Genomic DNA, 18,170 nt, shown 5'->3' on the forward strand with positions numbered 1-18,170 from the left:
AGTGAACAGAGGTTTCAAAAATTCTGGAGTGAATAAAATCCTGAACTCTGGTGAAGAGTTCAACATTAAGATTGGCAAGGCCACTCAATGGAGTGTGAAACAGAAAATGAAAAAAAGAAAGGACAGTTGCAGCTATATGAATATTTGTGGGAGTTTAGATTAATGTTGATGTTATTTTTAGGTGGCTTTTTAAAAGAAAAATACAAAATAAGGCTATTTGCTGAAAATAAATCAGGTGGCCAGAAGGTTATGTTTGAGAATAGAGAAATTGTTCTGAATTCTTGTCTACTGAGAACTGGAGAGAGTATTGACATAGAAGGATTAGTGGGAAGAGCTAAGAACCCAGTGGAGTCTGGCATCCACAAGACAATGGTAGCACTGATGTGTGCATTTGTTTAATTTTTCTCCAATAGCATTCAGCAGTTCAGGGTTTTTGCAGAGCTGGCAGAGAATTCGGATTTATTCAGGTGAGGTCCCCTCACACACAAAGTAGCAGGTCAGTGTAAAAGAATACTGCAGTGAAAATGTTCAGGATATTGACAGAGTAGGCATTGGAATCTCTGCTCATTAGAGAGAGAATGAGAAGTCAGCTCTAGAGGAGCACACCCTCTGCGGTGTCTGTGTGGGTCACCCTCCATGCCTTATGCTCAGGCAGGGCTCATTGCCTTGTCAATAAATCCTCATTTTACTCTGTCACTTACATACCATTTATTCAGCTTTGTATTAGCTGATCGCAAGATACTCTTATGCCCTAAAGTTTTTTCTCATTTGATGCCTATGCATCCATATCTTTAAGCATAAAAACTGGGTATGTTTTAATGAATCTATAACTTCATGCTGATAGCCAGGGAGTAGAACTAGAAGGAAAAACTGCAAGTAGAACTCTCAATTTTACAGAAAAAGATGAAACCTTAGAAATTAGTTACTGTAAACTAGAAAATATATGATATTTACTTTTATTATTAAAATTGAATTTTTTGGTTTGTCTTTTTTATTGCCATTTTAGAAAACTTTCTTCATCCTTCCATTTTCTCAGATTTATATATAAAGCTAAATAAGATAGAAGGTTTAACTAATAATACTGCTTGTTTTCTTCTGAGATGATATGATTTTTGTAAGAGAGGAGAAAAGGCCAAATCACCAAATAACTTGCATTACAATTCTTGGAAATAAGGATTGTACCACTCCTTATTATTCAATAAGTGTATCAAGGTAAAAAATTAAAGAAGAAACAGTAAGAAGCTTTTTTTTTTTACCTCCACAATGTTTGTTGAAACATTCTTTAAAGAAAGAGCACTTCATTCTCCATGTCCTTGCCTTCTCCTTTTCCTTCAGTTCTAATTTTATCCAAAAGCCTCATACTGCATCTTGGAGAGAAATATTTTGTCACCATAAAGCTTGGAATAAGGACAAGCTTAAAATACAGAATATACTTTCTAATAGGACTTCTTAAAATACTACACATTAAAATAAATTTTATTTGAATAAATGACCAATTGCCAGTCCAAATGTTTATTTACATTATCTAGATTGTCTGGCAATTATCTAGATAGATATGCCAACACTTTTCACTACTTTGTCCCATCAAAAGGGTTATTGTTCTAATATCTATCATTTCACAGACCTTGAATTTTTAACATCCCGGACCTTCATATTAACAAGGAACTAAGAAAGTTTCTTGCTTTCTGATATAAATTCCAAGATAGAAGCTCATAATTACATAGTTTTTAGATTGTGGCAATCCTGGAATAATTATAATTGCATAGCCAAATCACTTCATAACTTAAAGAAGAATCTTGAGGTCCAATAGTAAGACGATTTGAACTTGTTTTATGCTATTTAATAGACTTATTTTATCCAATGTCTGTGTAATGAGTGGCACACCTAGAATATAATTAGCTTTTTAAAAGGGAGCCTTCTGTGAGCTACTTACTTACTTTGTCCTTTGAGAATATAAAATTTAAGCTGTATTTACCTAAACTAGGCAACTCTGTGACTCCACGAAGCTGTTCTCTGTCTAAATGAACACTGAGGAATCAGAATTGTACACATTTTATTGTGATAATTATATGCATACAATTGTCTTGGGTCTATCCAAAGCTGCACCATCCACTTTTGTATCTCACCCCATTCCCTCTGGCCTATTCAAGAGCATCGCTTTCCATAAATTCTTTCCTTTTTCTATTATATCTTTAGTCCCCATGCCTTCATAGATTATTCCCATAAGTATATAAATATATTGTTATTTTTTCAATCAAAAAAGCTAAAAATTAATTTTCTGTAATTACCACCTTATTTCTCTGCTCCCTTAACTCAGAGGAGTCATGTACTTCCTGTATCTAAATCCTTCCCTCCTTTATTTCACTATGAATTCCTTCAAGTCCTATTTCTCCCACCTGGATCACTGAAAATTTTTAAGGTTACCACCAAGCCTTATGTTGCTAAAACAATAAACACTCATCTTAGTGAGACCTAGTGGATTAGCAATGAGTATATTTGTCACAACTGATCATTCCCATACCCTAGAAATATTTTATCACTTGACTTCCAGAAAAAACTTGTGTCCTGGTTTTCCTACAATCTCACAAGTTACTCCTTCTTAGACTTTTTTTCTGTTATTGTTGTTTTTTTAGCATCTTGATCTTGAGATCTTGTAGTGTCTCAGTCATTAGAAATCTATTGTTTCATCTGGTTTCATGTCTTTAGAGATTATGCTAAGAATACAATTTCCTAGTCAACCAAGACTTCTCACCTGAAGTCTAGACGCATATACAGTCATCACTTTTCACTAAATAATGGGAATACTTTCTGAGAAATGTGTTGTTAGGCAATTTTGTCATGTGAACATAATAGAGGATACTTATACAAATTGAGATGGTAGAGCCTACTGTACACCTGGTCTATATGGTATAGCCTATTGCTCTTAGGCTACAAACCCATACAGCATGTTTCTGTCCTTGGCAATTGTAACAGCATGGTAAGCATTTGTGTATCTACACATACATAAACATACACATACATAACATAGGTAAAGTACAGCAAAAATACAGTATATAAGATCAATAACGGTATGCTTATATTGGGAACTTACCACAAATGGAACTTGCAGGACTTGCCGTGGCTCTGGATAAGTGAGTGAGTGAGTGGTGACTGAATGTGAAGGCCTATGACTTTACTTACTATACATTGTTGTAGACTTTATAAACACTGGACAGCCAGGCTAGACTAAGTTTATAAAACATATTTTTCTTTCTTCAATAATAAACCTTAGCCTGCTGTAACTTTTTTACTTTATAAACTTAATTTTTTTAACTTTTTGACTCTGTAAGAACAAAGCTTAACACACAGACACATTATAAAACTGTACAAAATATTTTTTAATATCTTTACTATACTATATGTTTTATTTTATTTTTAATTTTTTTCTTTACTACTTAAGCATTTTGTTAAAAATTAAGACACACACACACACACACACACACACACACACACACACAGTATCCTAGGCCTACATAGGTTCAGGATCATCAATGTCACTGTCTTCTGCCTCCACATCTTGTCCCCCTGGAAGGTCTTCAGGGACAATAACAGGCATGGAGCTGTCATCTCCTGTGATAATGATGCCTTCATCTGGATACTTCCTGAAGGACCTAACTGGGGCCATTTTTTAGTTAACTATTTTTTGTATATGTAGAAGTAATAATGATAGATAATGATAAAAATTGTAGTATAGTAAATATATAAACCAGTAGCATAGTCATTTATTATCATTATCCAGTATTATGTACTGGATAACTGTGTGTGCAGACTTCTATAGACTGGCAACACAGTCTATAAAATGGATTTGTTGACATTCACTTGTGTAATGCATTGCTTGACACTGTGATGGCTACCATGTCACCAGGCGAATGGAAGTGTTCAACTCCTTTATAATCTTACAGAACTGCTTTCATATATGGTGTTTCTTTAACCGAACCATCATTGTGGGATGCATGACTGTACATGTAGTTCAACGTAGATCCTCAGAGGTCTAAAAAGAATATGAAGTTAAGATATCCAAACCTAATACTTGATTTTTCCTCTCAAACTTTTCTACTTTTCTTTAACGGTGCCCAGTTTCACAGTTGCTGAAGTCAAAATTTTTCTTCTCTTTTTCTCCCTCTACATTTACATCATTAAGAGTGTAGCAGCTCATTGTCTCACTGCCTCTCTGCTGCAATCTCCTCTGAGCAGCCTGGGTGAGTACGGTCTTCTGCCTGGAAGCAGAGTGTTTCCTCATCTGTCATTATTCACTCTCCTCCAGTCTATTCTTGACACAACAGCCACAGTGATCTTGTTATAATAAAGTCAATTCAAGTCTGATTAGTATCTCTCAGTGACTTACATCTCACTCTCCATGGCCTATGATGAGTCTGACCATTCGTCCCTATTCTTTTTGAACATTCTCTAGGCCTACATGGGCCTCTTTATACAGTGCTTTGCACCTGCGATTCCATGTGCCAGAACACTCTTCCCCCAATGTCTGCATGGCTCTCCCCATTTCTTCCTGGGGCTTAGCTCTGATGTCACCTTCACTGCCAGGGCTTTTTGCCCGTTTCCTGAATCCAGGGCTCGGCTCTCCCACCGAGCCAGTGCTTCCTGTTTCCACCTTCTGCTTTATTTTCCTCTGTGGTACTTGATATTGGCTGGTATAATAATTACACTGAATATTTCACCTAACTTCATTTGCCTCTGTCCACTAGAATGGAACCTCTTTTTAGGAACTTGAATGATTTTTTGTCCCCTCTATTTTGTTTCCTGTTGTATTCCCAGGGCCTCGATCAGTTCCTGGCTTAATACATATTGTTGAATTGAATAATTGTATCTGGTATTGACTTGCAATCCTTCTTCACTACAAGAGAAATAAATCATTAGTTTGGTAAGGCCAAGAGAAAGTCTGTTCATTCATTTAACTTTTGTTTTTCATTTAGTGCTGACCATGATGACTGGCACCGTGCCACACTGGTCCAGATGTCATCTTTTCATACTGCAAGTTCCTGCCATATGATCTGCTTCTGTTTTTCCTGCTTGTCATTGTGTTGAAATGATTGATTGCTTACTTCCGGGCTTTTAATATCCATAGCAAAGACATTTCCATCTCTTTCTGACTGACATTATTCCAGTTCAGATTTTAAGCAGAAGTATCATCTAGTATATTTCTAAAAATCTATCAAGCTCTATTCCTCCGAGTTTTAAAATCACAGAATGCTAGAAGTGCCTGTGTGTATTTTGCAAACTGCTGCTCCTCCGAGTTGTTCTGGAATGGGTCTTATTTTTTTATGTTGTGCTTTAGTTATGTTTTTCTCCTTCTCTACTCCCCTTTCAGATTCTTTGTACAATGTAAAGGGTGTTTAAAGACTTACATTTTTGTGAAAAGAATTAAACTTCAGTGCATAACCTGACTTAAGAAAAGCTTGCCTGTAGTGCAAATATCACAGACTCTGTGCTACTTCTCATAAGCAATATAAAATAGTCTCCTTGGCTGCAATAATTGAAGCTTTTACGCTCTCGTGCCCCTAAATGTCACATAAATGTATAAGAAATGTATCTGTGCTTTACAAATGTAGTCAAAAATAACTGCTCCCTGCTAGTTACTTAATGTACTTCCTTTTATTCTTGCTAGAGTCCTATAGATCTGGACAAGAGGTTATCCTTCCTGTCAGTAGCAGACAAATTTGTTTATTTTAGGAGAACAAGTGAAACTGTTTCACCATATCTGAACTCTTGGCCCTCTGAAAACATCAGAGCACATTTGCCAAGAGATAGAGTTGTCAAAGCCTTTCTTTTGCCTTCAATTTTCTTTCCAGAAACTTATGTTAAAGATAAACAAAGCAGGACAATAGTTGACATGGTAAGGACAGATTTTAATCAGTCATACGCCACTGCATTAGGGAAAAGAGTCCAGGGTGAGCTGAGCTCAACTGTGACTTGTGCAGAAATGACTGTGTGTTACACAAGAAGAACAAGTGAGTGGGGAGTGGGTGTGCAGGGGCTTAGTATTCAGAGAAATGGAAAATTACAGAAAGTAGAAATGAGGGTTCGGTCTGTGTGAAACCTATCTGGGTTTTTTAATTGGTGCTTATTGAAGTTGGATTCCCACCCTCCCACAGAGACTGAGAGATGAGGATCCTGTCTTCAGGTGTCGGCTGAAACAAACAGTAAACTCTTTGGGCAGCCTTGAGTTTTCTCAGGACAGCACTTTTAGGGGGCTTATGGTGAGCCTAGGAAGGTGGCCTTGAACTGCTAGAAACTATATTAGTGTTTACTGAAGTCTTTATAGGACAAGAGTGAGGCCTTGTCAAAAGAGGGCCCAGAGGAGCCTGGCTAGAGTTCAGTCAAGGAGAGAACACTCATCATCTATTGTCTTACATACCTCTGGCTCATTGGAACTGTGGAGGCACCAACAACTTTCAGAGTTTCGTGGATTTTCAACTCCTCTGTATACATCAGACTGTATATTGTTGTGAAATTAAAGCATTAAGTTATCTTGCAGTTCTAAACTTCTGTGAATTGGTTACTGCTTGGTGAAGTGCACCAATAACTTCCCTCTGAGAATCAGGAAGTAGCACTCTGCTAAAGTGTGCCATGTCATACCCAGAGACCTCATAGCTTGTTCAAGGTTAAACAGCGAGTTTGCAGCAAAACTTATGGTTTGTAGAGTAATTCCACAAATATCAGTGTATTTGATTTATACAACCTTCTTAGGAAGAAGACAGGGAACTGAGCTATGTTTTGTAGATAAGAACAATAAGCTTAGAGAAAGAAAGTGCTTGTGGAAGGTGACCCAGACAGTAAAGCTGACGAATCAGGCTGGGAAGGAGGTTTTGGGGCTTGTAGACTACCGCTGTTTCTGAGCGGCACTTCACCTAATCAGGTTTGTCATGCACTTAGCACCACCAACACTAGACATATTTCATAATATTTAAAAGTCTTATTACTGAATCTCTAGAAACTATGAAGAAACAAAGGTAAATTGAAATGATGAGAATAAGATGTTGCAGGAAGGTAATATATCACAAAGTGGGTATTTTTTTAAAAGGCCCAACTCCAAATGTTTTCCTCCTTCTTCAGATACAGGACCTCGTGCTTTTGTTTAGCCATCGGCATAGTCCACTGTATTTTTTTCTTTCTGATTTTCCTTAATCCATGTTGTCTTCCCAAGTACCTTGTGATCTTCTAGAAGATAAGAGTGGTATCTCTTATTCATATGTATGTAGAAAAAAAGATTTCAAAAACTCAATATTGCCTGTTTTTCTGTGAGTTGGTTTATATATTTTCAGTAATAAAAGTGCAATATTTTATAATATGAACAGTCATTTAAGGTCAACAATAAAAACAATAAGCACAATTTTAATATTTTATTACTTTTTTCTTTATTTTAGAAAGAAATATAAAACTATATTGGGTGGATTACTTGATTTTTCTGTTTGTTTCCAGTGAGTTTTGCTCAGGTTTCAATTCTTAAATTTATTTAAGAGATTACACATAACACCTCCTCCAAATCAGGTTGATATGAATGTTGCATAATAACAGAATAAAAGTTACCCTATGATGATATGACCCAGCAATTTTGTTACAAATATATACCCAAGAAAAATAAAAACATATGCCCATACAAAAACGTGGAAAAATGTGAATAGCAACAGAATTTGTAATAGCCAAAAAACAGAACAAACAAATGTCCATCCACAGATACAGGGATAAACAAACAGTGGTATTTCCATACAGTGGAATATTATACAGCTGTGAGAAGGGAAAGGTACTGATACATGCTACAACATAGAAATGAACTCTGACAACATTATGCTAAGTGAAAGAAGCAAGTCACAAAGTCCCACATATTATATGATTCCACTTATATGAAGTGTGAAGAATAGGCAAATCTATAGAGACAGAATGTAGATTAGTGGTTGTGAGGAGCTTAAGAGATAATAGGCAGTCATATCTACTGGGCACAAGCATTTCTTTTGGGGTGATAAAAATGTTCTGGAATTAGATTGTGGCAATCATTGTACAACTTATGACTGTATTAAAAACCACTGAGTTGTACACTTAAAAGGTGAAGCTGATGATATAAAAATTGTCTCACTATAACTGTTATAAAAATATAATGGCATTTTATATTTGTTCAAAGTAAAGGGCAAGGAAGATATTTATTCTTATCACTTAAAATAAAAATGAAATTTGTAACTGTCAGTGCTTTTTTTGCCAAACAATTACAGTGGTCTTATGTGAAAAACAGATGCTTTAGAAAAATCTTCACGGAAACTGGCAACAATGATCACTTTTAATTAAATTCTTGAACTGAAAACATTCTACTTTATTTAATTTAAAAGATAAATTTAAATTTAAGAATAGAAGGCAATGCATTTTAAATGTTGATGTAATTATGGAATTTTTTGTCTTACTTTAATTAAAAAGCAAGATTACAGTGCGAAATTTACTTTTTCCCTGAAGAACCTTTTAGAAGGAAACTCTATTTAGAAGATAGACATTTTTTCTGTTGTAATTACTTGGTATTTACTTTTTGTTCTCTCAAGAGGATCTGCTCTCGTATATATTAAAATAATGTGTTAATGCCTCTAGGGGGAATAAAAATGATTTGGTCATTTTCTTTCTGGAAAACACCCAAATGAAAACTGTTTGCTCACTTGGCATGATCAGTTAGAATTAAGTAACTTCCAGGTGTCTCTCTCCTGTTTTCTGGAGTCTGTTACTGGCCCAAAACAATCTGGGGGAAGTGAATTTCATTGTAGCTGACCTAGGTTTATTATTCTAGTTAAAAGAATTTGCCAATGATCCAAAGTTTTGTTAGGGCTTTTACTCCTGTTTTGATCGTCAGGACTTGCAAAGGGTGCAGAGTATGGCAGTATGAGTAGCATGTATATACGGGGATCAGGAAAAGCTAATACCCTGAGGCCATCATCTAGTGTCCTTGTGCCTGAGTTATATGAACCTACCATTAATGATTTTTGTAAGGAGTCAGTATGAAAACGTACACAAACCTTTAGCATAACTACCTCACATAGTTGTAATAATGAAAATAAAACTACTTAAATTCCATCCTCTCTTCCGGCCCAGGGATGTTTAACATACATTATTCCAACTCACTTCACATAAATTGAGGATCACTGAGTTTTAAAATATGTTTATTCCTAGTTAATTTGGAAAACATGATCACTTTAAGCTTTTATAACAAAAGCTGGTGGTTTCCCAAATCTAAGTAGGAGAGAGAGGACAATGGTAAGTCCTAGTTGCTGGGAATTAAATATTTTCCAGAATCTAGAGGATCCTCACTTACTGCAACTCTGCACCCAGCGTTGTGCTTGCTCACTCCAAACCTCATTCTCCTCTTAGTAACTCCCCAACACGTCCTTTGCCATTTTACTTTTGGTAAGGCTGACTCCATCTTCTCATCTTTTTCTCCATAGAAAAAGAAAAATTGCTTCAGTAGCACTCCACCCACTGACAATATTTGCTATTGTAGTGATTGGCACGTGAACCAATGTGGTCCAACAATTTCTATGCGGAGATTTCTGGAGCCTTTAGAGAAAGAAGTAAACTTCCTTTGTCTCCTGAAATAACTTCCAGAAGAAATCTTCTACCCTTTGAGAGAGAAGAAGCACCAGGTAGCCCTATGGCTACTTAGAACTAAAAGGGCAACCAGCATTAGAATGAACCCGACACACAAACCAAACCAAAAGCACACAAACCAAAGCAGAGAAAATGAACAAAGTTGGTGTTTGTAAGATTATTGCACTGCTGAATTAAACTGCGCATGAAACCTCCCTGACTGTTGATTTCCATTAGTTAAACCAATAAATGGCCTTTTCCGCGAGCCAGATACATTTTATTTTTGTTGTTTCTATAAATATAATAAAATACCAGAAAAAGTCATGTATGTTTTTGTATTATTTCTGTTACTAATATTTATAAAAAGATACAGACTAATAAAGATCTAAAATCTATTTCTTGATACTGTAAATGATAATTTACATAAATTTACATAAAAGCATACCTAAAGAAGAAAAATATACATTCTAAACTAGAAAACAAGGAAAACAGAGCATAACAGACATATCATCAAGAGTGTTATACAAATAAAAACTATTATTTTATTTTTCAAAATGCAGGAATTTTTTAAGGTAATAAATATAAATTATCTTTACAGAAAGATTATTTACCTTTAATTGAACATATACATCTTAAATAAACCCAAAAATTTCCTTTTATGTTTCTCATATTGTAAAAAGGAACAGTGGAGATTATTTCAATACAATGACATAGTCTACAGGTATTACTGCAAAAAAAAAATAATTGATCATTTAGTTGCGTATTTCAATATGGTATATATTTGTTAAATAGAATTTAAATAGAATTTTATTGAAAATAAACTAAAAATATGCAATAAGGGTTACTATATACATACAAATACATAATTACATTTACCTTATTGCATTATTTTGAAGTACAATGAAAATGTTGATTTACATATACAGATCCTTAGTTCAGGTAGTGTAGGATGAATAGTTGAAATTCAGATATAAAACCCTCCATGTGATAAAATTAGATTTGCTGATGTGAATATTGCCTATTTTGTGACTGTAAAAGGTCCCCTAGGCTATACTATTTTTTTTCAGTATTTTTCTCTCTACTGTTTCCAATGGGTCAGTTCTGTGGACCTGTCATCTAGCTCACCGTCTCTGTCATCTCAGCTCCAAAACTGAGCCCATGTAGCTTGCTGTATTTATTTCTGTTACTTTACTTTTCATTTCCATTACTTGCACTTTTTTTTTTTTTTTTTTTTTTTTTTTTGAGATGGAGTCTCGCTCTGTTGCCAAGCTGGAGTGCAGTGGCCATCTGGGCTCACTGCAACCTCCGACTCCTGGGTTCAAGCGATTCTCCTGCCTCAGCCTCCAAAGTAGCTGGGATTACAGGTGCATGCCACCATGCCCAGCTAATTTTTGTATTTTCAGTAATGACGGGGTTTCATCGTGTTGGCCAGGATGGTCTCAATCTCCTGACCTTGTGATCCACCGGCCTCAGCCTCCCAAAGTGCTGGGATTACAGGCGTGAGCCACCGTGCCCGGCCTAGTAGCACTTTTTGATAACTTCTATTCCTTTGTTAAAATTTTCTATATTTTCATTTGTTTCCAGAGAATTTGAAATTGCTGTTGAAACTTTTTTTTATGATGACTGCTTTAAAATTCTTGTCAGATAATTGTAATTTGTGATTTGTTTAATTATTGGTGTTCTGTGATTGTCTTTTATCTTTCAAGTTGTGATCTTCCTAGTTCTCAGTATAACACATACTTTTTAATTGTGTTCTGCCTTTTGGCTTATTATGTTTCAAGGCTGGGTACTATTTAAGATTTTTTTTAAAAGAGGGCATTTACCTTGTTTGGATTTAGCACATAGGTCCTGGCCTAGTTTTAGAGACTGATTGTCTGGCTCTATTAGCTGTCTCACTTTTGAGCCTGTGAGGTGCTATTTATTCTGAATGGTTTATCTTGTGCCAATGGGGCTTCCTCTGGTCCCTACTGATGCTGCTTTGGGTGAGCAGACGAAACTATGCAGGCCAGGTTGCTGGTGCCACTAATTAGGAAAGGGATCCTTTCTCACAAGGTGACTAAGAACATTTCCAGCCTCGTGCTTGTCAAGCTACGTCTGCCAGTTGAAAAAGTGGAATGATGAGGAGAACCTCTCAGGCTGCTCATGGGCTCAAGGTCACCTTTGCAGGTGTTTCCCACAGTGTGATATCCCTGCCTAGGGTAGGGGAGTCTTAGGCCCTAGGGGACTAAGTGGCTTCCCAGGTTGAGCATTTTGTTTGTAGCAGTTGCCCCTGCTGCTGTCTCTGGTAAATGGAATCACTCAGTGGGAGGAGGAGTCCCAGGACAGGGAAGGAGAGCACCACTTATTGCCACAGGGCTTCTGATCAGTCCCCTCTACTGGTTTGCCTCAACTTGCTTGGTATGGTGGGACTCTATTTCCACACACATGTGGTATGAGACTAGCTGATCTTCCCTCTTTGAGGCTGCGGGTCAGGAAATGTTAGGCTTGGATGTCCTTCCACTGTTGCATGGGATAATATGACATCCTACTTCTGGGCTGCTCCTCCAGTTCTGGCCCCTACCTGGCCTGCTTTCTCTTTGAACATTTCAGAACTCTCCTTGGGTCGTCTTTCATTTTTCTCCAACATGTCTATAGTTGAGCTTGTGGGGAGGAGGAGGGAGAGATAGTTTTCACCATATTGTCTGGACTGGAAATCTCTTTCATTTTAAAACGTAGGCATTTTTCTTACCCTTCAGTGATATTTCATTAACTGGAGGGGAAAATAAAGATTAGCAAGATTTAGGGATTCAATGTGCTGAGAGTTGATTAGACAAATTTTAAAGGTCAGAAAGGTAAAAACCATATAATGTAGTTGTATGCGTTGGTTTCAGATATGCTACATGGCAGGTCATGAGTGATTCCTGAATGATAAGAGATTCCATAGGATTTCAGAGAAGAGTCACAGTGAGCTAAGAGGGTGGGGAGATTTCTTTGAAGAGAGTTGCAGCTTTCTTGGGAATGAATTTAGAGGAAAGAGAATGTGTTAGTCAATTTTCACACCGCTATAAAGAACTACTTGAGATTGGGTAATTTATTTAAAAAAAAGGTTTAATTGACTCACAATTCCTCATGGCTAGAGAGACCTCAGGAAACTTACAATCATGGTGGGAGGCAAAGGAGAAGTAAGCACCTACTTCACAAGGTGGCAGGAGAGAGAGATAGCAAAGGGGGAACTGCAACACACTTTTAAAACCATCAGATTTTGAACTCACTATCATGAGAGCGGCATGGGGGATACTGCCCCCATGATCCAATCACCCCCTCACCGGGTCCCTCCCTCAACACATGGTAATTACAATTCAAGATGAGATTTGAGTGGGGACACAGAGCCAAATCATATCAGAGAATTTAAAAGAATTTATGGAAAAAAACCCACATGTTTCTATGTAGGAAGCAATACTTAGTTATTAAGAGCTCTAGAGTGACAAATTTTGGACAGGAATATTCACTCTTTCCGGTAGCTGACATCACAAACATTATCAGACCCTCTGTACTGCACTTTTCTTGTATGAAAATGAGCCAGTATTAGTACCTGCCTCAAAGGGCTGTTTCCAGGACTAAATGAGCTAATATGTACACATTTCTTAGTGCAGTGTCTGGATAAGCACCTGATTATTGTTGTTCTATTATTAAACACATCCTGTGGAAATTATTGCTCTTCTTAGAAATTGGGTCTAGTCTTCCTTATTATGTAAAGTTTATTACGGAGATTTTTTTAATCATTAGGAATGTGATATGTGGGCACATGGATGGATAGATGGATGGATGGATCAATGGACAAGTGGATGAATGAATGAACGGATGATAGATGTATGATGGATAGACAAATGGATGGATAGGAAACTGGGTGGATAAGAAACAAAGAAAAATTCCATCAACCTGATAGTGGATAATACCAGATAATGTTATGCTGATTTAATCCTTCCTACAGCTTGTCTCAGTTAATCAAATTATATGTCAGCCACCTGTTTTGTCATATTGCTGATTTATTAGAACAAGTAAATTAGATTCCTCATAAGATTTTTAAATGATTATATTAAGATTTGTATAGATGCATTACTTAAATGCATGCTATATCTAGCTTGTTCATAGTTGCAAAATCAAATCAATATATTAAAGAGGCATCTTGACATTTTTGCCCAACATGTAAGTAGCTATCTTGAGTAATTTTCAAGTAATTTTAGTTTTCATTCTTCAATCCCACAGTTTGCCTCTTATAGGGAATCAATATCCCAGTCAGTGCTTTATTTATTTATTTATGAGAAGTTAATTTATTTTTTATTGAATTTTGGATTCCCATGCTTATTTGTAAGGATAATATCTATAACTATTTCAGACTTTGCTAAAGTACCAGATTGTCATTTCTGGAGTCCTCTGCATCCTTATTCTATATGGCCTGCATGCTATTTGACTGGGGACTGATTTTTATATAGCATGTTGATCTCACTTAGATTGTATAATTTAATTTTAGTTGTCATGCTTTTGTCAACTTTAATTTAAATTTTGGATATTTGTGGAGTTTAATGTTCTTATTGTGCATGATATAGGGATTGTTATATAAGTACTACTCTTACGGGAATTATTTGGGTAGACTGGACTACCTTTTCTCTGGGTCTAAAGGGCATGGAAATGTAATTTGGTCTATGTTTTTCACCTTTCGTGTAAATGTATCCTAAAGGAAGTTTGTCTATCATCTAAGCATTAGGCTAAGCATTTTTGCATGGGGGTTTTGTGGTGCCGTTTAGTTTCATACATTCTAGGGTCTGAGAACAAGTTCTTGTCATAGCCATTGTTTCTATATTTGTCTGTAGCAAATTATCTGAAACCTTTTTCATTGTTGCCAATCTTCCAAAATCAAGAGGTTCTTTTGCGGTATTATAAAGAAAAATGTTGCAAAGTGTCAAGTATTATTTAGTCAAATAATAGTATGTACAAGGCTGCCTGTGGTGGCTCACGCCTATAATCCAAGCACTGTGGAAGGCCGAGGTGGGTGGATCATCTGAGATCAGGAGTTTGAGACCAGCCTGGGAAACATGGCAAAACCCCATCTCTACTAAAAATACAGAAAATTCTCTGGGCACGGTGATGCATGCCTGTAGCCCCAGCTACTCAGGAGGCTGACGCAGAATTCCTTGAAACCAGGAGGTGGAGGTTTTAGTAAGCCGAGATCGTGCCATTGCACTCTAGCTTGGGTGACAGAGTGAGACTCTGTCTAAAAAAACCCAATTATTTATTTCTTGATTCTCCTTTTTGTTTTTCCTTTTTATCAAGTCTCAAGTCTTCTTAATTAACTTTACTTTCTTAATGATTTTCTTGTAATCAGTTTGTTTTAAAAGAAAGCCACTAACATGTATACAATTAAGGATTTTGCTCTTAGTAGTCTCCTCTAATACTAGTTTGGGATTGTGTCCACTCAATATCAACATCTAATAATAATTGTGTTCAATTATACCAGGCAGTATTCAAGGTGTATTACTCAGAGTAACTCACTTAATCCTCACAAACTCCAATGAGACCTTTCCTTGTCTCATTTTACAGATTTGGAAACTGAAGCACAGAGAGCTTCAGGAACTTGCCTATAATTACACAGTTAGGAAGGAGTGCTCTTTGACAATTTAATAATTTTAACAATGAGATGCAATTAATTCTTGTCATAGCCATTTTTCATTCACTAATGTTTAGAATGAATTAATCAAATGTCTGACTTCATAAAACAAAATCTGAATGTATGATAGGATTACTAACACATATGGATGAAAAAAAATCATATACCCTAAAGAATCACCAGTATAGTCATTTTCTAAAGAATGACAAATTCACTAGGTGCACCTGACAAATACCAATGCAGTTATCTTAAATTTTGATAAACTCTCTTAAATGGTAGATTAAAAAAAAATTCTTACTAAAAACATCCCCGTAGGTATACTCAGAATATTTAAGAGGAATTCTGATGTTTCTGAACTGGGTGACTATTTACCTGACATATCCAAGGACACAGGCCTCTCTTTTTTTTTTTTTTTTTTTTTTTGGTGAGGTGGAGGGGGAAGAGGAGGAAGTTAGTTACTGTTGTTTCAGATTCCTTTGTTTACTTCAACAAATAGAGTTGTGTTATTTTCTCTATATTTTACGTCTTCATATCATCACACCATTGCTCATTCATTTTAATGGTAGTGAAATAATTTCCCTAAATTGAAAATATATATACCACTTGACTTACTGTGAATGAATAAAATGAGACTGATTTAAATGATTTATTTCATATATCTGGGTTTTCCATTAAATGCAAGACTACATATATGCTTGTGACTTCACATGGCCCTGCTTTGAAATGACACAAGCTCTGTAATAAATATTGAGGATGACAGAATCCATCTCCTCATCTCATTGAGAAATCTTTTAAAGAACTAGAACATGACAAACATTATTCTGAATTTCAGCTCTGACTCTTACTAGCTTCTAACCTTAAAGAAGTTAGGAAATGTACCTGAAATCTCTATTAGCAAATAAAATTTTAAAATACCCCGTTAAAGATTCTTGAAGGATGAAAATAATGTTTGTAAGAGCTAGACACTTAGTGCATGATACTTATTGTTAGCCCAATGCAGGGAGGTGCCATGAACTCTTCCATATTTTTAAGCACAAATATTTTTAACTTTTATCAAGATGTGTGACAACTCAGAATTTGAGGGAGTTTGATGAAGTTATTTATCATTACATGGTGTTTTTAACCTCTTAAGTATTTCTTTATTACTAGCTAAATATTAAATTGATGGGTTGCAATCCAGTGCTGCCAAATTCTAATAATTTTTATACGTGATTCCAGGTCACTATCCCAAGGTGAAATTAAAAAAAAAAAAAGATCTTTTGAGCCTTCCTGGTTCCTTCTGTTTCCTTTGGGGATTATGGAATTATTTCAATTTTATTCAAAGATTATCACTGTTTTAATGTCAATGGGGAGGAATATATTTTGTTAAACCATCCTTTATTTCTCATAGTGAACACTGGACACGTTGGTGGGAGTTGTTCTGTGCTGAGAGCATAGCAATGAATACAGAGACAGCAGACCTGCCTTCACAGGTTGTATGTTCTGATGCAAGTGGCAACAACTTGAATGTCAATGAACTTTAGTGCTTTCTTTGATGGGCAAAGGGCAGAGCTATAAATGCTATCACCTTTTTTTCCTTTATATTTGGAAACATCCCATGGCCCACAAAACATTCCTCAAGTTTGTCTTTGGGTAGAGTGAATTCAGCTTTTTGCACATTTAGAAGCCACATTAAATATGTCTGTGGCAAAAAGTTTGGTGAAGTTGGCAAGAGATGAGTAATTATTTTCACACACATGTTAATTTCAATTTTAAAAAGTGTTTTATTTCTTTAAATTTAAAAAAAATGAGCACTTACACCACATGAGCACATTGGCTTTTTTTGTGGACGTTGCCTGCATCTTCTTTCCTGTTTTTCTATCTTCATGAAGTCAAGTGCAACTGAGGTGGTTTATTTTACTACTTGCATGTCAATGGAATGTGGATATCGGGGCTGTTGTATGTTCTGGATGGAAATGTGGTCCTGCTGCAATACAATAAATCTCATCATTACCCTATGTGACCACAAAAAGGGTGAACCAGAAAAATGCTAGGAAGTATGGAGTCTTCATAATACTAATCACTTACATTTGTACAAACTTAAAAATTTCAGAGGTTAGATATTGGCTGTAATTTCCAAAGGCTCTGAGGTTAGGAATTCAGGTTTTTAAATTCACTGGAGAGTTAGGCCTTGTTTTAAAATGTAGTTTTATTATTCAGATGTAGTGAGGCTGACAGATCAGGAGATTACTGCCATTGAAAAGACAGTTTGTTACTCACAGTTCCCTAGAAGAGGTGCCTGCTATGCCATGGGGGTCACATGGGGGAGCACTTGGGTGAGTCTGGAGACAGAGACAAAAGGGGAGCTGTGGGCAAGAGTCTTTATTGTGGTTTGTCTGTGAAGGAATGGGTGAGGCAAAGTAAATGGGTTTAGGATGGACTAGATTGAGTAATTTCATTGGGTTTTGAGACAGCAGCTGCAGCTGTCCCTACTTGTCTGGTACCTCATCCTGGGGTAACTAGGGAAAGTAAATGGTGTCCCAGAGCATAAAAGCCCAGTAAGGAATATGGTTGGAATGTGGGCTCTGGATTTGTTGGTTTGCAAATGGAAGGCTGCACACTCACAGCTGAATCCTACTTCTAAGAGTTGGTGAAAACTAGAAAGAGAAGGGAAGTCCCTACTGTGTTAGCAAAGCCCTGGATATGAAAGCATTAGAATAAAAGGACACATTTAACACAGGCCCAGGCACTTTATTCAATAAATATTTGTTAAATGAATCAATAAATAACGGATTTGCAAATCTTTATACTGTAGTCTTGCTAGTGTTTAATCTTCATAGAAACAGTACTATTCTTTGAGTGACAGAGTGATAAAAAGTTTATTAAATGTGTAGAAGACTGCAAAGATTAAGAAGGATATCTTAAAAAATAGCAA

At 36.1% G+C, this 18,170-nt stretch overlaps 1 protein-coding gene across 20 annotated transcripts in view; it reads left to right on the forward strand.

Moving 5' to 3' along the window:
* Positions 1-18,170, forward strand: part of SNTG1 (syntrophin gamma 1) — an 886,897-nt gene that overhangs the window by 85,334 nt on the left and 783,393 nt on the right. The window contains exon 1 of one of the 20 annotated variants that reach the window (XM_017013580.3): positions 15,746-16,728. The exons of the other annotated variants lie outside the window; for them this stretch is intronic. The gene's annotated coding sequence lies outside the window, so the exon portion shown is untranslated. Of the gene's footprint in view, positions 1-15,745; positions 16,729-18,170 lie in introns of those variants that run through there. 20 annotated transcript variants of the gene reach the window in all.

This window comes from Homo sapiens, chromosome 8 (genome assembly GCF_000001405.40).
Source record: "Homo sapiens chromosome 8, GRCh38.p14 Primary Assembly".
Classification (NCBI taxonomy): Eukaryota; Metazoa; Chordata; class Mammalia; order Primates; family Hominidae; genus Homo; species Homo sapiens.